This window comes from Homo sapiens, chromosome 1, assembly GCF_000001405.40.
Source record: "Homo sapiens chromosome 1, GRCh38.p14 Primary Assembly".
NCBI classification, from domain to species: Eukaryota; Metazoa; Chordata; class Mammalia; order Primates; family Hominidae; genus Homo; species Homo sapiens.
In genome coordinates, this window is record NC_000001.11 from 61,239,555 (window position 1) to 61,260,598 (window position 21,044).

The 21,044-nt window shown below is 36.5% G+C and overlaps 1 protein-coding gene and 1 long non-coding RNA gene across 5 annotated transcripts in view, besides 2 other annotated features; one reads left to right on the forward strand and one right to left on the reverse strand.

The window, feature by feature from the left end:
* NFIA (nuclear factor I A) overlaps positions 1–21,044 on the forward strand; it is a 385,562-nt gene that overhangs the window by 162,328 nt on the left and 202,190 nt on the right. The window lies entirely within an intron of this gene.
* Positions 7,830–8,038: a silencer, noted in NCBI's record as "fragment chr1:61713056-61713264 (GRCh37/hg19 assembly coordinates)". NCBI's record gives its function as "represses an EF-1alpha promoter that drives an FKBP-Casp9 reporter gene in an ReSE screen in phorbol 12-myristate 13-acetate-treated (for megakaryocytic differentiation) K562 erythroleukemia cells {active_cell/tissue: K562(+PMA)}" and the evidence as "EXISTENCE:reporter gene assay evidence [ECO:0000049][PMID:32094911]".
* Positions 9,391–13,964, reverse strand: NFIA-AS1 (NFIA antisense RNA 1). Its single transcript, NR_104180.1, has 4 exons — positions 13,857–13,964; positions 11,731–11,815; positions 10,394–10,427; positions 9,391–9,555 (listed from the first exon to the last, which is right to left on the reverse strand). It is a non-coding gene; the product is annotated as an NFIA antisense RNA 1 (long non-coding RNA).
* Positions 10,663–11,164: an enhancer, noted in NCBI's record as "NANOG hESC enhancer chr1:61715889-61716390 (GRCh37/hg19 assembly coordinates)". NCBI's record gives its function as "activates a minimal SCP1, AML or CMV promoter by ChIP-STARR-seq in naive H9 embryonic stem cells {active_cell/tissue: H9 hESC(naive)}" and the evidence as "EXISTENCE:reporter gene assay evidence [ECO:0000049][PMID:30033119]".

A 21,044-nucleotide genomic window follows, 5' to 3' on the forward strand; every position in this document is an offset into this window, starting at 1 on the left:
TAACTTCTAGCATGTTCTATGAATATAAGGTGATAAAATTGTGTTTGTAAGGTGGCTTAAAGTTTCAAAAGATAGCTTTCTGAGTGAAATAATGTTTGTATAAAATTGTGTTGAAACAGCATCTTATAGAGGAGCAAATGCTATGTCTTTAAACACTTAATATATTATTCGAAATAATTGTCAAATATTTGAACAATAATATTTAAGAAGGAACACTAGAATTGGGTGTCTTTTCATCAGATAGTGTTAGATATCAACTATGCTGTATTAATTGAAAGGATTTGGTATAATCTCATAAAGAAACAGGCAAATTCTGGGGTTTCCTCTCTAGTGAAAATATATCATTCATGTCTTTCATTACTGTGCTATAATTATGGTAAGTGAAGCAGAACGAGATCGATAGAGCAATTTATCAATGCATTCCAAACTATTCTAGCATGGTTTACGTCATATCTCTGCAGATACTGTCATTCAATAAAGAGACATCTAATAGTATAAAGACTTCAGATGGATCCATTTCAGCATAATGTCTTTCTACGTGATGTTCTAATTTCGATCATGGTTTAACTAATTGTTTCACTCTGTATAGTATTAAGTGAAGTAAAATGTTTTCTTTGTTGAATTTCAATAGAAATTTTAAAATTCAGCTTTCAAGTGTAAAAAGCACTGCAGTAGTGGAAACATTGTTATTAATGGATGGCTTTAGCCTTCTTTTTCAGTGCCATTGTAAGTTATATCACCATTGAAACTAGAATACAAGTCAGGTATCCATCATGCCCCCAAAAGCATTAAAATTCAAATAACAAAAATAACAGTCATTATTTAATGACTGTAAATTTTTGTCTTTTAACATCACAAGATTCAAAATTCTTTAGGCTTTATCACCGTATTTATGATTTAACTATAAGAGTAGGTTCACAGGCTAGCTCATTTAGACTTTTTTTTCCACAAACCGTACACAATGGGGTCTTTTTTTTAATCGTAAATATTCCCCCCATACTGACATGATATTAAATATTGATAATATTGAAGAGAAGATACTGAAGTATACATGAAAGTGTTATTTATTTCAGTATGGACAAAAAATATTTTCAAATTACTAGATTGTAATTTTCTTTTTTCATATGTTATAAAATTATCACCCACTGTCATTTTGGTTAATTCAGTTTTCTACAAAACTATATAGGTCTGGTAATGATGCCAGAGTCACACCAGTGCAAAATTGTCATTTGTATTTCAGGTTTGTAGACATCGAGAAATATTTTCAAGGACAGAACTTATTTTTTATTGAGTTAGAAATGTTGAAACGTAAGGGAAAAGAGTGAAGTTGAATATGACCACTTTGTCAGAAAACTGTATACGTAACTCTTGATTTTGGAAAAATCAGCACCTGCAAATTTTGTCTTTTGGGGTTTGTTTTTTTTTTTTTAGTCCAGTTCATAAGATTACATGTTTTTGGTTTATAATTTCTTTACCTAAGGAGAGTTTTGTGCTGCATGACTCCTTAAGAGAGTTTCCATGAGCTCATAAAACATGAAGTGGGACAGTCTGAAATATTGTGATCGTTTTCTAGAATTATACCTGATGGAATGTGATGACAGCACCTCTCCCTTCTATTTTATATGTTGAATTTGAAAGTGCTTGGGAATGTGTTGATGTCAATCGTGGCTGTGTTTTTGGCCATCTTTCTTTCCTTATACCTTCCACTTTCCTACTAACTGGTGCCCCTCTGACATTGTTTCTTAAGAGCTTGTCTGTTAAAGGGTTAAAGAATTAGATTTTTAAGCTGCTTTCGTGCAATGTATTTAAGTTAAGGAAATTGGGATATCATTACCTCAGTGAGGATGTTGTAAATTGTTTTGTTGGCAAGATTTATTGGGGGTTATTTTACCTGATATCACATTGTATTGTTTAATGTGGACTATTTTTAACTAGCGTTCTATTTAAACAGTGTCAGTGAATTCTGAGAGCTTGCCAAACAAATTCTCAAAATGGTTGCCAAGCTGTAAGATGGCTGCCAAGGTCTGAGCACATTGAACAGGTTCAAAATGGTGACCAACTTCTCAGAATCTGTTGGTCAGATTCCCCCACTGCCAACCCCCTCCCCCCACACAACTACCACCCAAAAAGGAAGGAAAAAAACCACAAACCCGAAGATGCAAGACTTGGCACCATCTCCTTGGCACGAGTGGCTGTAGTGTCATCCAGAGATTCAAGTAGTCACCACGTACTACTTGTTTCACATGCTTGGCAGAAGACTATTCAGGGGAATACATGAGGTGAAAAACCACTGTAAAATAACATGGTCATTTTCTTTACCTTATCTAATATGCACAAAATAATTCTTTAGAAAGGGGAAAAGCCTAGACAAGGCAATACTTTCAAAGAGCTTTCTAAATGAGATCGAAGAGCGTTAACTAAGACTTCGGGCTGTGCCTTTTTGTACTGCTTGCCTGAAGTGGCACAAACTTTATATACAACAGGTTTAAGATTTATTTTAGTTTTGCATTTGTTTACTTAAGTTTATAGCAATTGCTTTCTGGCAGTTGTGGTACTTAGCAGATTGAAATAAAATCATAAGGGTGAATTAAAACATACTGCTGTTAGTGCTGATTAGAATTTTAGCTTAGTGTAAATACCGGATGCAGGGTCCAACTTTTCAGACACTTGGCATGAGCTCAATAGGGATCTCCAGGCTACACAGGAGACAGTGTGTGTGCTTGGATGCTTTTAAAATTCTTGGATAGGTGGAGCATACTACTTCTGCTGGCATGTTGGTTCATTGTGCTGGCTGCATAATGTGCTTGGATTCCAAGGTAGATAGAAGAAGCTGAGGAAATGGTAATAAGGGAAGATAGTTTGAACTTAAAAAACAAAGCCTGGAAAAAAGAATTTTATTTGAACCCTCTGCAGTTTGTACTCTGTGATATGGTTAATTATATAAATAACCAGTACTAAACTAAGTTGAAAATGGCAGGATTTGTGGTAGTTTGAAGAATGACCTAGAAGTGAATTTGTTTCCACAAGTTGTTGAAATTTTTCTGTGTGATCCTTTAAAAAATAGACAGATAAATTAACTTCTCCAGGCAGTTAGTTTAGTCAGTGAATTCCTTAAATAGATCTTCTGTTTAATATCAGCAATGGACTAGGTTTTATATTCTGATTGAGACCTGCATTCCTAAAGATAGTTTTTAGGTGATAAAACATTTTATTTAATGCTTAAGTAGCTGTTAAAAAAGGCTGGTTGTCATGAAGGTACTGGCGTTTTGTTTTTATCTCAATTGGTAGTGGAATCAGCTAGGGATAATACTATAGAGCGATATAGTTTATATAGCTTGAGTTTTGAAAAATCTATAGCTTTAGGATTTGTTCAGTCATGGAGCCCTTAGGTGGTGTGTACATTTTGTATATTCTCTATCACAAGGGGTAGTCAAGAAATGTGACTTTTCGGTCCTTTTTTTAATGATTTTCTCCTGCCATTTAGGCAACAATGTTAGTAGCCATCAAAGCTTCTCGTATGTTTATTTCTAGTCTTTTCTCACCTAGTAAGCAATTGTCAACCAAGGCCCAATCATTCAATAGGTAAAACCAAATGTTATTGACAGAGCTGAAATCTGAACTCTGTATCCTTCAGCGTAGAAGATCAATGTTCATTAAGATGCTTCAGTTCTGGAAATTTCAACATAAAGCTATGGAGGCATTTAGAGGTTAGCAGGGCAAATGTGTGATATGCAAGGTGTGTAGCAGATCCCTTCTTACATATTTCCAGAGTATATTTGTAATGTTACATGTTACAAATGTAAAATAGTTTAATTAAAAGTCTTTCTTGCCAATTCTTACATATTGTACTGTAAGTTAGTGACAAGGAACTCAAATAAAACCTTTCTTTTTAAATTAGAAAACCAAGAGTCCACACCTCATTACAGTAAATCATAGTGCATTTTAAATCTTCAGATTAAGAATGTGTAATACTGATTATTACTTGTCAATTTTGTTGTTTTTTTTCTATTACATATTCATTGATGATTTATTCAGATGACTAACGTTGTTGTAGCTGAGGCAAAAATTAAATCATTTTAAAATATGTCATTTTTACTTATTCGTAACAAGTTATGAGTATGTAAGCAAGTAGAATTTTTTCAAATTGCCTGAAGCATGACAAAATTCTAGATTTATAGTATAAAATGCCAATCAGGCAGTGTTTACGTAGGTAGAATAAGGCATATTTTTGCAAATTCCCACATCACCATTCTTGCTTATATGAAAAAGCATAGTACTTTTTAGTATTTTGAGAGAAACTTTATTCATTTTGCTGTTGTAGACACAGTCCGTGTTTTAAATTAGTGAACTGCAGAAATCTTTTCTTTAGGAAATTTTTTCTATTAGTCCTTCCAAAGTGAGTATTTTACTTTAAAAGAGTTGTTTGTGTTTTAAATTTATGTGGTGGTATATTTAGCATTTTACCCTTTTCTACGTAGCATACACGTGTAATTAGTACATGGGGTGTATGTGTATGCTGGTGTCTACCCAAGTATGTATTGAAATATAAAATTTACTTTCTATATAGTAGCTTTCTGCATAGGGCAACCCAAACAGCTGTTATTCCTTTTTATAGCTTCTTTAATCTATGTGCCAACAAGTCAGTTTACAAAATCTGTTTTGTTGATGACTGCTGCGATAATAATTGTGGTGTTTTGTGGCTTGGCAAAAGGCTGGGGTCTCCTCTGAGGACTCTTGCCAAAGGCTTTGAAGGGGTTGAGGTGGATTCACTGCCAAAATGAGTCACCACTCTCTATTTTATTTAGTGTCCTTCTGCCAAGGCCTTAGACACTGTCTGTTTTCATTCTTTTGTAGGCTTTCCTCCCCACATTGTGGTTTTCTTCACAGCCAGAGGCCTGGGTCTGCCAGGATAGGTGAGAGAGGCTGTGTGTAGGGAAACTGAAGGGCTAGGGGTTTAGCTGTTGTATACCTTGAATGTATATGTGAGTTAAATTATATGGTTATAAGTTACAAATGATGGACTTAAATAATCTAGTACCTTGTGGTCACCTGGGTTTGGGTCAGACATTCTCAGAAGAGTATTATTTACTTTTAAGTAGGATTCAAATAATGTGACAGTGTTTTCATAATTGGTATTGATTATTTAAAAACCCTAGATTATTTGTGAGTTCTGGCTAGAGGCCTAAATCTTGAATTTTTCCTCAAACAAAAGAGTATCATCCTCCTCCTTTTAAATGGCATAATAATTTACTTCACATAAATGCGTTTTCTACGTACACACCTAATAGACTTCAGGGAATTATGCTAAAATTTTATTTCTACCTGTCTAGATTTAAATTGTCAACCATTAAGTAGACTGAGCAATATGAATTGCTGGTCTGTTCCCTGAGATATATTTGAGATTTAAACATTTTTTTCTTCATTAAATACTTTCAGTAGATTGAAATAAATGGAACTAAATGTCCTCTTGCTAGGTTTGTCCAACTCAAACATGTATTATGTATAGAAAAATGGCTGGGATGAATTTGAGTCTTCAAAATATAAGCAGAAATGGCATTTCATGCATTAGTATGAGGAGGACATACTTGGGTTTTTGCTAACTTTCAACCTATAAAATTTAGATGGGTTTTTCTTAACTAAAAGCTATGACACCATCCTGAAATCTTGTAGATTATGTATGCAGAATTAAATTGAGGGGCATGGTTTTTGTTTTGTAAGTATTCATTCATTGTGTTAACTCTTTAAACATCGTATACACAGGAAAACTTCATTATAACATCCCCTGAAAACATTTCCATAAATATAAAGTAAATTTTCAAAGTTCAAAGTCCTAACTATAGGCAACAAAATGTTTTCCATATATTATGGTCGAAGCTTTTGTTCTTCAGGGGAAAAAATGTTATAAAAATGATTTTAACACTTTGTTCACAAAATAAATTCTATTAATAATTGATTATTATTTTTCATAAATCTTTCAGTTAGAAAACATAATTACGTAGGTAAAGAGTGAGATAATATTAGGATAAATACTGATCTCATTATATTCTACAAAGGTCAGTGGTTAGTATCCACTAAGTTAATATATGAAAGTCCTTTGTAAACTGTTAAATATATAGATATCAAGACATTTAGGTTTTTATTTTTGTTTTTTTTAAAACTTTGGATTATCACATTCTCCTCTCTGTGTATCTACTTCATGGTTTTCATTTAAAATAGCAAAAATAAGAAAATAGAAACAGTTACTAAAAACTTGTAGTCATTCTGTGATATAAATTCATTTGGAATTTAAATACTTAGAGCTCACGGCAAGAGTCCAAGACAGAAATTCTTTTGGATGATCTATAAACCACTCAATCCCTGGTTAATGCTCAAACCATGTGAAAAGTTCCAGGTGAAATTCACTATGAGCCTTGTCTGAACCCCATAAACTGAGGGAAGTCCTATAAACCCTATATGAACCCCAAAGAATCAAAATAACTAAATCCGGCACATAATTAAAAACCACTATTTTCTAGTGGCTGCTTTATGTGTCCACAGTTTGAAGACAAGCTTTGCATATGGAAGTGAACTATTTTATTTCGAAGATATGAATCATAAGCTACTTAGTATTTAAATATAGTTATCCTGTTGTGAAGATCTAATAATAATGCTGTTTAAAAAGAGGAACTGGAACTCCTTTACAAGTATTACCATTTCCAGGATCTCTCGGAAAGTTGCCAAGACATAAATATAGTTGTAGTAATGATTGTTGTTTTAGGAGTGGAATTAACAGTAGATATGTTCATCAACGTTATTTTGAAAAAGTAACGTTATCTTGGATTTGTACTAACCTTTATGCCGTATACTTAAAATGCAACTCTTGATAATCATTTACTATGACAGTGTGGGTTGATAGAAGCTAGGTATTATGGTTCTCTTTAGGCAGAAAGAGAAACAGAACCCCTGCATGACTTCAGATGCAGTATATTAATCTTTTGGGGGCATCAGTTTCCTCTTCTGAAAAATGAAGGGATTAGACTAAAACAATGTCTCAGATTCCTTCCAACTCTTAAAAAAAAAATCTGGAAGCAACTATCTTTGCGTTATTGTCCATAATATCCCCTTCAAAGGTGGGATGACTGATTTATGGAGGACACATTGTAAATCACTAGGCTAATATCTCTTATTAATTATTGCAATCAGAAGTATAATCATTGTTAACGTGTACCGAGTACTTACTCCTAGACATCACCTGCTGGGCTCCTGATGTGAAATTGGCTCACTGGTTCGTCTGTAGTTCTTTATTAGTAGCCTTAGTATCTTAGCATATTAGTGATTTTATTAAGTTGACTAAGCATTGTATGACTTTTTACAGGCCAGTGTCTTGGATGCTCAAGAATCCTGAACTCATTCCCTTTACCTGTAAATGTTGACCGTGAACCAAAATGAGCTCTGTCAGTCTCTTAACCATTTTACTTTTTTGACCGTTTGTCTCATGATAAGTTTTGTAAGCATTAAGTAATTTTCATACATCATCTGTTTTTGCATTCATTCTTCCAGCCATCTGCCATGTACTTGGCTTTTGGGCACTGGGAAGAGCTAGATGGGGTAGAAATGCATCTTCTCTTAAAAGGAGCTTACAACTCCCAAAGTTACAACTCTATCACAAAAAGAGTGTCAAGACACAACCCAAGTTCATCACCTGAATGCCATTGATAAGGATTTCCAGATGGACAAAACATTAAGCTGACACCAAGTGAAACGTGTACTTCACAGACTTTCATGTTTCATTTCGTGATATGCAGTGGCACTCTGAAGAACTGGGCTTTCAGAATGTATGTGTTTGGTCCGGTTCTTCGTATAGGGAGCAGTATCTTTGGAACAGTCACAGCATACACCACACCACACTAGGTTCTATCTGTGGCAGGGTCAGCTCATTAAAGCTACTTTCTGGGTCCTCGTTAATGTCATGCAGGCCTTGTGACAGGTGTTACAGCTCCCCACCTGGCACGGTCCATTGGGGGTGTGCTGTAATTGCTCTTGATGCCACACTTAATGGGTGGGGGAAGAAAGTAGCATTATGTGTGAGGGGAGGTGAGAGGGATGCCCTCGGGCCGTTGCTGACATCTGGTCACCACTCCTGTTTTGCTGGCTTGTCTGTTTGGTGCCTACAAATATTGGGCCTTTGAGTTGAGTTTGCTGCCACCATTGGGTTCCTTGCAGCCATCATTATTTCACAGCTGGGCCATGGTTTTAACTTGGAAAAAGGGCATTCATCTCAGGGCCAGAAATGGTCTACTGCCAACATGATCCTGAGAACTTTCTTAGTTTAATAAATGAGAGAATAAGTATTCTCATGAGCTCCTGTATCAAGTGTTTCCTGGTTTTGAGCTTTTTTGTTTTTTGGTGAGAATGTTATCTTTCATTGTTATTTCTGAACCCTTAAAGGACTAAATTTCCTTTTCAAGAGTTTCAAGTAGTTCTTGTACATGTGTGCGGTGATAAGCAAACATTAGTCTGAGAAAGTTCTGAAAAATCTAATTGAGCCAGCATTTACCAAGCCCTTCTATGTCAGCTACTGAACTAGGTGCAGGGAAAAAAATAAAGGTCCTCAACTAGCTCACCCTCAACTAGCTGTCCCTCCAGCTAGAGAACCAAACCTCTGCATAATTAACCATAATAATGGGCAGATAGATTCAAGGGAGAATGCAGTAAAATATGTAATATCATGAGTGCAGTTTTTATCTGTGTGCACAATTACGCAAGCCTTTTAACTAAAAGGCTTCGGTGAGATGGATTTCGTAAAAATGCACAGAACTTCCTGAAGCACAAATTAGACAGTTCCCTAATATTAAAACACAGCCCTGAGAGGTAGGGTTTCAGGCTTTCTGGAACCCCCAAACTTGAATTGGTCCACAGAACTAAATTAGAAGTAACAACCTTTCCTTATGATGTGTGATTTCTCAAATGGTGGCATCTTCCCAGAGCTGTGTGTTCTTTTGTTTGGAGCACAGCTGCTTCCTATTGTTAAGTTGCACCGGAGAGCTCTGAGACAATTAATGAAGGGGATTTAAATGTTATTTAAAGGTAATCCCAAAACGTTTCTTTGTGAAAGATGCCCCTTACTGCAGTCCCAACTTAAATACCAACTTAAATAAGAAACTTCCACTCTAGGCATGCTCAATAAATATTCAGTGACCATTTCTGGTTTCTGGGGCATAACTAAAACTAAATAACTAAAAAATTGCCAATTAAATCTTCCCCAGCCCCAATTCCACATAACGCCTATGCACAACCACTTCTGAATGCTCATGGAGAAATAGCATTAAGGCTCTGATCTGACCTCAGTAATTTTACAAATGTAAAGGTAGCATCTCATGGTCCCTGTAGGGATATATTATTAGAAGAACATGCATACAATTTTGTTTTAATTGATTCTCACTCTTAAGTATGCAACCAATCTGTGTATATCTCCTTTTAATTATTTATCTGAGTTGTGAGAGAAAAGTAGGTAATTATTTGGTGATCCATTCAAATGTCTTGAAAGGAAGGCATCCAACTTTTATGACATACATCCTGAAAGACATAAAACAATACATTTTTATTTTATAATTTCATCAGTATCAAGTGTAGTGTAAACTATTTTAAAACAATTTATAAAAGGTGCTTACATACTTACTGATTGAAAAAATGGCCACAAGAATTAAGTTTATGGAATTGAAAAAATTTAGACCACAACAACATGGTAAACATTGATTTTTTTCAGAAGGAAATAATTTCTACAAATCAAAAACTTTACTAACCAGATGTTATAGTTAGGACAAACAATGAAATAATCTTACTGTAAGAAAAATAATTCAGCCAACACGTTTTTTAAGTGTCTTCTTTACGCTTAACATGGGTATTTGCTATTAGATGGGGGAGGTGGAAGGAATGTATCAAAAATGAATAATGGCCAGATGCGGTGGCTCACGCCTATAATCCAAGCACTTTCAGAGGCCAAGGCAGGTGGATCCCAGCACTTTCGGAGGCCGAGGCGGGTAGATCACTTGAGGTCAGGAGTTTGACACTAGCCTGGCCTCAAACTCTGGTGAAACCCCATCTCTACTAAAAATACAAAAATTAGCTGGGCGCGGTGGCAGTCGCCGGTAGTCCCAGTTGCTCAGGAGGCTGAGGCACAAGAATTGCTTGAACCCGGGAGGCGGAGGTTGCAGTGAGCCAGTGAGCCAAGATCATGCCACAGCATTCCAGCCTAGGCAACAGAGTGAGACTTGATCTCAAAAAAAAGAAAAAAAGAATAATATTCGTTACCATGTTCCTGCTGACAGTTTGAGTACACAAGATACACTGTGACATAGTGAATTCAAGGAAGCAAACATGGTATGGGTTGGAATAATCATGGATGGATACTTACTGCAAGAGGCAGAAAAACACATGCAGTTCCTTTTCTAGGAAAATATTGGTAAATTATGCTTGGTTAGTAAAAGTGCACAGAAAGCATATGGAAGTTTCAAATCTATTTTCCATAAATTTTTCCCCAAAGTATTTCTGAGATGCTGGGTGCAAGGTACGGTTCATTGTCCTAGTCCTCTATGCTGAAAATGATCATTTTAATTGGATTGCTTCTTTGGAAACAAGACAAAGCGTACATTGCTAAAAGCTTCTGGAGGCCATTTTCAATATTTGTAATAATATAAGTGCTAGAAATGTGCTTTCATTTATATTCAAAGGCAATAATGCCTTCTGTAAGCATGGCGTCTCTGTAAGACTTTTATAATGTCTACTTAAATGCAAGCAGACAAAATTAGTTTTCACTTTAGATTGGAAGACCTTTCTCCATTGCAACTTTTTGGCCTCTCTTTTTGTTCTGCTCCCCAAGAGCAATGTAAATGTTGCTCTTTGTTTTGCTAAAAGAGGAATGTTTATTTTTACAAGTACCATGCCACTTCCATATGATCTACATGGTATGTGTCATGAATATAATTTCTGTATGATTGGCCAAATTTTTCACTTTTAATTAAGATGACCAGACAAAAATTTGAATTGTAAGAAAATTATGGGCCAATTTAGTGCCTGTTGAAATGTACACTGGATATTGAAATGTTCTACAGAGCATAATGAATGAAAGTAAAAAGGCTCTATCTCTTTTCTGAAGCCTACTTGAAAATTTTGCTTTCATAACATGACATTGAAAAAGATACTATAAAAATATTTATTAAAATCATAGCTCGAGTTTTTTCTTAGAAGTAAGAAATTATGTTTAATATCAAGGACTTTACTACAGGATAACATGATTGTGTTTCACATAGAAAAACTTTGTTGAAAAATCAGTGTGGAGTTGAGTTCATCTGGGCCCTAGCTGAAACTAATTTTACTTTTGGATATTCCATAAACTGCATACATCTCTTTCTTACTGTTTTGTTTTTCTATGTATGAGAAATCCATAGACACAGAAAAAAGATGGAGAGCCTTCATTTCTCTTATTTTCACTTTTGTCCCATCCCTCTGTGCTTGTTCTTTGTTTAAATAAACTTTTGTTGTATGTCTTTCACACATCATCACTCTCTGCTTCAAAGGCTTCTTTTAATAACTTAGCCCTGGCTCACTTTTCTTTTGCATATGAAATTGATTTAACTAAAGTGTATGTGTGTGTTTGTGTGCGCATATGCCTACATACACATGCATCCGTACAAATAAAAATTTCACTGGAAAGGGAACTCCGTGATCTCTTTACTACGTACATACACACACCTTGTCGAAGTGGGAAAACTTAAGTTTGGAGTTAATTTGGTTTTGAGTTCCAGCTTTTTCTCTTAGTGCTGTCTGTTTCCTCACCCTGAAATGAAGATGGTAATGTTTACTTTGCAAAAGTTGCTGGGAAAGTTATGTATATATAAATCACTTTATTTTTATTGCTAGACATTCAATAAATGCTAGCTGTTACTGTGACCATCATTATTGTCATATATGTAACACAATTATGTCATACATTTATTTTGAAGCTGATAATAAGTAAACTGATAAAAAGCAGAAGGTTGAGATTAAGGCTTCTTATTGCTAAAAGATTGATCTTAAGTACAATCACGTGAAAACTGATAGTTACATAACCTGAAAAATCATAAAATACTGAAAAATTATGACTGTTATGTGATTGTTTTCAGTTGTCAGACTACGTGATGTTAAAATGGCAGTTGATTTTTTGTATTAACACAGTGCCTCTAATTTTAAAAACTGCTTCAGCAATCATGTATTTAATGAAAACAGAAGTAACGATACAAAATAACAAAAATATAAATAGAGTTCAGAATTTGAAAATACTGTATTAGGAGGTAAGCTGACTATTTTTCGTGTTCTTTAAATATATTTAGATCAACTTGAATATTAAGCCTCCTACAGCAGGTAGATAGAGGTATCAATTCAGTTACCATTTAAAATACAGTAACTCCAATGAGGAGTTTCTTATAATTATTTCTAATTACTTTTTGATATTAGAAATTAGAGCTATACCAGAATGCTGGGAAAGATGTCTTTTTCAACATTGTATCACAGCATCAAGCATTATGCATCAAACATCAATTCCTACTCACAATATCCATTCAATGTATATTTGGATTATATTTTCTTTGGATAGACCCTCATAGTAGAAACTCTGTATTAACCAGCTTGCAAGATGAACCAAGACTTTTTGTTTTCTTTGTAATATACTGATTCCTTTGGCATGTTGAATTTTCATGGCCAACAGTTACCTACTACCACATCCTAGCACTATTGTTTTTACCAGTTGTGTGCTTACCACGTCAGTTGTGTTATTCCGGACCTGTTTATACTAGTCTTATTTGTATCACCATTGTGTAATTTAATTAAATTTATGTGAACCAATGGCATGCAAGTTCAAAATGGAAAAGTTTTATTTCTATGAAACTAACCCAGTGCCTTGGAAAGAATCAGTAAAGGCAAGCTACAAAAATTTCTGTCAGATTACATGTCAGTGAGATAACTACAGAAGATGAGAGAAGGTTGTAAAAATAAGAGTTTTGTTAGATTATTTTAGAAATATCTTTAAATTCTCCCACTACTTAAAGTAAATGGAACTGGAAATCTTTTATGATGCATTATAGATACGCATTATATAAGAAAGATGCTGTGGAGCTCCAATTATTAACAGACATTATTAAATTTAAATTTTTGCCTCTGCATAAAAAGATTGGCCAAAGAATGTACATACACATGCTCAAAGTTAAAATGTTTAAGGTGCATATGTCTCATTAATGAGTATCTTCTTCATCCATTTTTTCAAATTAACCAATCAACAACTGGCCCTAACAGTACTGGATAAGGTAACTTCTATTCTATTTTGTATTCCTACTCTTTACAGAGTTTTAGAGATGTTTTGTTTCCTACCTACCAAGGGAAAAAAAGGGAATTGGCAGATAGAGTTTATATCTTGGGATGAGATGTGTAAAGGGCCAGGACCTGAAATTACGTGAAGGTTGATATTCTGGGATTGGTAGTTTTGAAGTTCCATAAAGAAGTTCAGTCCAGCCATGTTCCAAATGCTCTGAGTATAGGCACTGGCTGGTAAGCTTAGTGGAGTGTTATACAACATGGAAGTCTAACTGGCAGTTCAATGTCCCAAAAGTTGGACAGAACCAAGAAATAGAGAACATAAGCAGATGACAGTAATCCAGGCAGAAGGTTAGTGTCAGAGAAGTCTGTCAGTGGGTCATAGGGCTCCACGTGCTAGCCTGGGTTTCCGTGCCAGAATTTTGTTCTTGGGAGGCAGGTAGGGAAAAGCAAGTCAACATCTCCAGTTCCAGATGAGCTAGGGCACTTGACCAAATACAGGTACAGAAGTTAGTCCTTGAGGTAGAGCTTACCTGTTGGAGAACATGGCAGAAATCATTGTACCAAAATTGGAGCACAGGTCAGAGGCTAAAGCATGGCTTACTGCTGTGGCTCATGGTGAACTTGAGCTTCTCATGGCCCCTCCTATCTCCTGAGGATGGCTGAGCTCACAGATGGGGACTGTTATGTAATCAGAGGTCAAGTGGTTTAGCTGGGGTGGCAGAGAGCCAGGTGAAGACTGAAAGTGTTCAAATAAGGAAGAGAACAGAATTGCTTTATGTCTGCCTTCATGAAGACAAACCCTAATAGCCAAAGGACTGAAAGTTTGCCCAAAGAGACCTCAATTTTTGAAAGGAAAATGCATCTTCTCCTTATGTTAGAATGACCACGTCTAAATAAAATAAACTCTTTTGCCTTTTGTTGTTACTTGTCTTGGTATCTACCATTGTTTGACACTAAAAAAAAATAAAGCAGTGACTAATTATTGGCTAATTTAATCTGTCATGATGGCATTTGTAATTCAGGTACATCCTTCATTAAAGCAAGTATAGGCATTATTATTTTTAAAACTTTTTTTTTCTATTTGGATTTCTTCTATTTTGTTTGATTATTTATTTTGTTGTTACTGGTGGTGGTGGTGTTTTACAGTGAGACATACTGGTTAGCTCAGCTAAGGTGTTTGAGTAAGACTTCATAAACATAAAGTACTTTGTGTGGGTTTGTTTTGTGTGTTCCATCTTACGTCATTTGTGGCACTGAAAATGAGATTGCAATTCCCAGAGTACTGGGATAGTTCATTCAGAGGTTAGCCCACCTAAGTTTATAGCAGTTGTCTGTAATAGAATTGTAACTAATTTCCACTGTTGTTTTTGGAGAAAACTGTAGACTATAATTATGTGTTAGCACTTTTTAAACAGCTCCCTGCATTGTCATATCATTTTAAATGGGCTCTGTTTTAAAATGACCTTTCATGTTTTGATTGCAAAAATATAGCTTACACAGGTCTGTAGTTAGCAAAATACAAGGATCCAGTAAATGATAGAGCATTGACACAACTCTAGAAGCATGTGTTAAACATCACTGGCACTGCCCTAGGTTTAAAGGGGAAGAAATAGGGAAGTAGAAATTCACTGTTCTTCAACACTCCTTCTGTTGGATAGGCAAGATTAGTACATAGAACAGTTATGGAGCCATGTGAAAAAAAATAGTAGTTATACAAATGTAAAATGCTACACATGAAGTATATTGCATTACCTTTTTGTGGCCTATGGAAAGAAGTCTCAGAGCACAGTAAGATTCAAGTACCATCTCCCAGAATTGGGGTCAGCAACACCATTTTATATTTTGGCAAATGCTACCCACTGTCTCCCAAACGGCAGATATCTGCATATAGTTAGTCATGTGGACACACCCTTCCTCTGCTACATTGCATTGCCATATTAGTAGTAGAATTTTAGTGTTGATTTAAAAGACAGTCTGCCTTAAAGCAGATTGCATAGTTTGCACACTGTGAATTGTAATTAAAGTGTAAGGGGGGCTTATTATGTCAACAACTGGCATGAGAACCCCCGAGCAGCAGGTGACCCTGACCATGTGACGTTTGTGACAGCTAGGATCCCCTTTTCACTGGCTTAGCGATCTGAAAGTCCAAATTGAAAGAAGCCCAGAGGCTGTATATTTCATTAGATCCCAGGGGAAGTACAGGATACAGCTTCCTTCTGTTTTCCTGGGAGGTCGCCAGAAAGTTTGTAGAGCTCTGTTTCTGTCAGAGACTCAAAAGAGAAAAGAAAAAGCACACACAAAACAAAACAAAACACCATACACACCACAAAACCATCCACCAATCACCCCCAGGACCATAAATTTGACATTTCCCACAGTCTGAGACCACAGTGTTGCTGTGTCAGCAATACGCTCCTTGTTTGAATTGTCTGAAAGGAAGGCTCAGTGTTCTAGCTTTTAAAAAATGTGTAATCTTCAATATGCAGTGATTCTCTTGGTGTAAAACCATGAGAAATTATCAAGTACAGATATCATATGATTTGCTTGAAATACTTTTGCATTATGCGTTACTTTCTCCTGACCTTCTAAAATGGGGCATAAGTCCGAATTTAGAAAGAGGAAACCACATGTGTAATAAGGGAAACAGACTAAGGAGACATGCCATGTGTATTTCAGATCTTATTGTGATGGGTAAACTGTTTGAAATGTGGTCACATTAAAAGTATGTTACTTTGTGGGAGACTCAAAATCTTTTACGAGTAGATTTTTATTGTGTTCCATAGTGGAAATAGAACTAGGGTTTGGTTTTGGTGGGAAGTTTTGGTCTTCAAGTCACCTTGGCACCTGACTGGCAGTTGTGAAACTAAGTAGAAAAGATACCTCTTTTTTCTTGGCACCTCACACGGGATCATAGGATTCTTACTATCATACAATTTATATATCACAGAAATGAAAACTTCGGTACTTTGTTGTATAATACAGATCTTGTGCTTGTTGATTTTTAATTTGGGGCTCAAGCTTCCCATGTCAACTAATGTGGCCGCTGCTAGGCTGCCCTCGGGTAGACCAAATGTAAGCTCACTAGGAAGTATTTCTAGCTCTGTAAATACCTAGCATATCGTTTAGTCCAGGCATGTCCAATCTTTTGGCTTCCCTCGACCACATTGGAAGAAGAAGAATTGCCTTGGGTCACACATAAAGTACACTAACATTAACGATAGCTGATGAGCTTAAAACAAAAATCGCAAAAAAATCTTAGCATGTTGGCCAGGCATGGTGGCTCACGCCTGTAATCCCAGCACTTGGGGAGGCCAAGGCGGGTGGATCATTTGAGGTGAGGTCAGGAGTTCAAGACCAGCCTGGCCAACATGGTGAAACCCCATCTCTACTAAAAATACAAAAAAAATTATCTGGGTGTGGTGGTGCGTGCCTGTAATCCCAGCTACTCAGGAGGCTGAGGCAGGAGAATCGCTTGAACCGAGGAGACAGAGGTTGCAGTGAGCCAAGATCGCACCTCTGCACTCCAGCCTGGGTGAGAAAGTGAGACTCCATCTAAAAAAAAAAAAAAAAAAAAAAAATCTCATAATGTTGTAAGAAAGTTTACGAATTTGTGTTGGGCCGTGTTCAAAGCTGTCCTGGGCTGCATGTGGCCCCTGGGCCGTGGGTTGGACGAGCTTGGTTTAGTCCCTAAGTGTTGTTCATTTTAAACCAGAAAGTGAGAATTTTCTGAGCCCAGATTCTACCTTTATACTGCTATTTGTTATGTTTTGGTCAAAAGGGAAATACAGAAAGAGGAAAGTTAACAGTCATGGTTTGTGTGCTTGTATGTTGTATACTTTCATGTTTTGATTGCAAGAATATGGTTTACACAGGTCTGTAGTTAGCAAAATACAAGGATCCAGTAAATGATCCTTGTATCATTTATTTAGGACCCTCTGTTGTAAGGGCCCAAAAAGACTCACTCACAGTGCCATACACATGGCACTGCATGTGTGTGTGCTTGTGCCAGCCTGGGACGAGAACTTCAAGGCTTGAGAGAAAGATGTACCATTTTCATAAATTTGGTAAATAAATTAAAACCTTTCAACTTAGAGCTGCATTTAAGTGTTATAATTAAAGGACTACCAGTTGGGTTTTTTGTTTTGTTTTGTTTTGTTGTTTTACAGTCCATCTATTTTAGCAAATTCGCAAATAATTAGTTTCTTTTATTTATGTTTTTCAAGATCGGTTCCTCTATTCAGCCAGAGGAAAACCCAATATCCTTAGCTGCGTTTTACCTCAGGTACCCAGAGAATTGAGGCAAGAATAGGTTGTGGGAATGTGAGAGAAGTGTGTCTGTGCTGTCTCAGCTCAGTTAACTAGTCCTCTGTAGCAGGATAAGCATGTTTGTGCAGAGGTAGAGAATTGTCTCCAGTCATGATTTTGTTTTTTATATTTTTTACTGCGTTGTTTTTTTTTTTTTTTTTTTTTTTTTTGAGACAGAGTCTCCCTCTGTCACCCAGGCTGGAGTGCAGTGGCATGATCTTGGCTCATTGCAACCTCTGCCTCCCGGATTCAAGCAATTCTCCTGACTCAGGCTCCCGAGTAGCTGGGATTACAGGCACACATCACCATGTCCAGCTAATTTTTGTATTTTTTTAGTAGAGACGGGGTTTCACCATGTTAGCCAGGATGGTCTCGAACTCCTGACCTCATGATCTGCCTACTTTGGCCTCCCAAAGTGCTGGGATTATAGGCGTGAGCCACCACACCCAGCTCTACTGAGTTCGTAAGTGAAGCTTTTTCCCCTCTCATGTTATTTGAATATTGTTTCCTTCATCTTTGTTTATTTATTATTTATTTTTCAAACCAGGGTCTCACTCTGTTGCCAGAACTGGAGTGCAGTGGCACACAATCATAGCTCAGCATAGCCTCAAACTCCTGGACTTAGGTGATCCTCTCATCTCAGCCTCCTGAGTAACTAGGACTACATGCTTAGCTGTTTTTTTTTTTTTTTCTTTTTTTCTTTTTTTTTTTTCCTGAGACAGGGTTTTGCTAAGTTTCCCAGGCTGGTCTTAAATGATGCTCTCATCTTGGCCTCCTAAAGTGCTGGGATTACAGGGATGTAATCCTGGACCCTTAATCTTTATTATTAGTTCATCATCTTTTATCATGTATACTATGTGCCTTGAAAGTGTGTATTATTTTATTATCTGCACAATTCCACATCACTTTATTGATATTCTGAATATACCTGTAGTATGTTAATAAATAGCATCTAATAAAATGTAGATACATAAAAATAAGCCATTTTCATAACTTTTGGCTAATTTTGGAAACAGCATTCTCAACTGCAGGTCAGATTTTTAAAAGAATTTAATTTTATCTGTGATTGTGTATACATCATGCCAAAGATAAAAGCAATTCAGTTGAGTGAGATAGGGTGTGGAAACAGGCTACATGTTGGAGTTTGTTGCCAGCCTGACATTTTCAACACAGTTTCTAGACCCATCTTTTTAAATGCGTGCTACAATGAAAACCAAAAGGACTTTTTCATATTGTATTTGCAGTCATCTATAGATGTAACTTCTGATGTCTTTATTTTTGTTGCTCTTCTCTTCTCATTAACAGCAGACCTGTAGACACACTAGTCCCAACATGGTTGTTTTACTTCCTCATATGTGTACTGAAGTGTTCTTTGCTGTCTGATGTATATTAAGGGGTCTTCAGCAATTATGAAACCATTGCTGCAGAAGCCCAGAGTCACATACTATAGAAATATTCTATAGTAAGGACCTAACAGGATTCACATTAAACAGAACTTGACTATAAACTAATGGATTCCTACTACAGATAATAGGAAATGTGGTTTTTTTTTTATTTTTTTGAAACAGGGTCTCACTTTGCCACCCAGGCTGGAGTGGGGTGACATGATCATGGCTCACTGCAGTCTCGACTCCTGGGCTGAAGTGATCTTCCCACCTCAGCCTTCTAAGTAGCTGGGATTACAGGCACACATCACCACACCCAGCTAATTTTTTTGTAGAGACGGGGTTTTGCCACATTGCCCAGGCTGGTCTCGAACTCCTGAGCTCAAGCGATCCACCTGCCTTGGCCTCCCAAAGTGCTGGGATTACAGGCATAAGCCACCATGCCTGGCCAGGAAATGTTTTTAAAGACTCTGGTTCCTACAAAATTTGCAAAGAATTGTGAAAACTGTCTATCCACTTCTTTAAATTTTAATTTTTGTTGGTTTATATTTCAAATATTACATTGTCAATTAGGATTATTATGACCATAGATGACACATTTTGCCCATCCCTGATAAAGAGAAGAAATTTGCTCCCTAATGTGTAGCCAGTTTAGGAATTTTAGCCTTAATTGAAAAATGTATACTTTTTTGTAACTGGACTTTGTTTCTGCTAGGAGATAGAAAAGTCTATAAGCCATCTCTGAGATAGATTTCTACTCTTCCTTTAAAATCTTGCCCGGACTGGCCCTTCCCCTCTCTGTTCTTCCATTCAAGGCTCACTTATTGAACATATATTATGTGCAAGCACTTCATTTAGGCAAGTACGAGCTGTGTGCCCTCAAGGGCTTATAACTTGTTGGGAAGGCACGTGGGAGTTATATACACAGAGAAATGAATTAGGATCTGAGTCCCATTCTCAGTAACCAGGGTGTAGGGAGCCAGAGGAAGGAATGATGAGTTCTGCCAAGAGGAAGGGAAAGGATTCTGACGTTATCTTCTACACTGGTTAGAATAGAAGGATGGAATCCTAAATTTAAGACGGAGATCTGTGCTGTATACATGTGACTAACAGAGATTGGGAAAGAGTGTAATTACCTCCTGTGCCTAAGAAGGTTGTTGGCGTAAACAAGGTAGAAGCAAAGCCAATTTTTGGGACAGTTTAACCGAAATCTTTTCAAATATTTGGTAGAAAGCATTGGATGAAGTGTTACAATTTTAATTAATGTTTTTAAATGACAATTGAGGGTTAATAAAGCCATTGTTGCCGTGCAGTTGAGAAGAGTAGAATGGGTTTGTTTTTGCAATCCCAGTGGGGTAATTAAACTTGCAGTGCCTGTCACTCATTCCTTAGGCTGAGGGACTTTTGAGATTGCAATAGCTCATCTTGTGTTGCAGCTTTGTTTTTAAATTTAGCTAAGTTAAAGCCTATGGAAAAAAAATCAAGGGAATGGAAGAGATGAGTTTTGAACTAGTGAATGTGTTCACTCAAGGCACAGGGCCTCTTTGAGGAATTTAGGTCGCAGACGTCTTTCACAGAAAAGCTGTGTCCAAACTGTCACAGTTACTGCCTCAGTGTCCTGTTTTGTTCTGAAGGACATGACACCTATTTTCCATGCACTTTTTCAGAAAATAGTATTTGTACCCATTTGTTTTGTCTTCTTAAGGAACGTTCATGCAGACTTTTCGAGCAGTGAGCAGGCGCCAGAGACTATGTCACTGTTCTGTTCTGCACAGTGTAGCGATTTGCAGTTGGCGAATGAATTCATCAGCGGATGAATGTCAGCTCACTAGGTGACAAGCTTCCTGTGATATAGACTGGGTGAGGACAGAGCTTGGTGAGCCTTTTTTGTTCACGACTTCATCTCTAGCACTCACAGTAGTGCTTGGCACATAGTACATGCTCAATAAATATTTGTAGTTTTATTTGTGGAATGATATGCTGAGTAAATGATTAGAGTATATTATCAAGAAATTACTATTTTTTTTT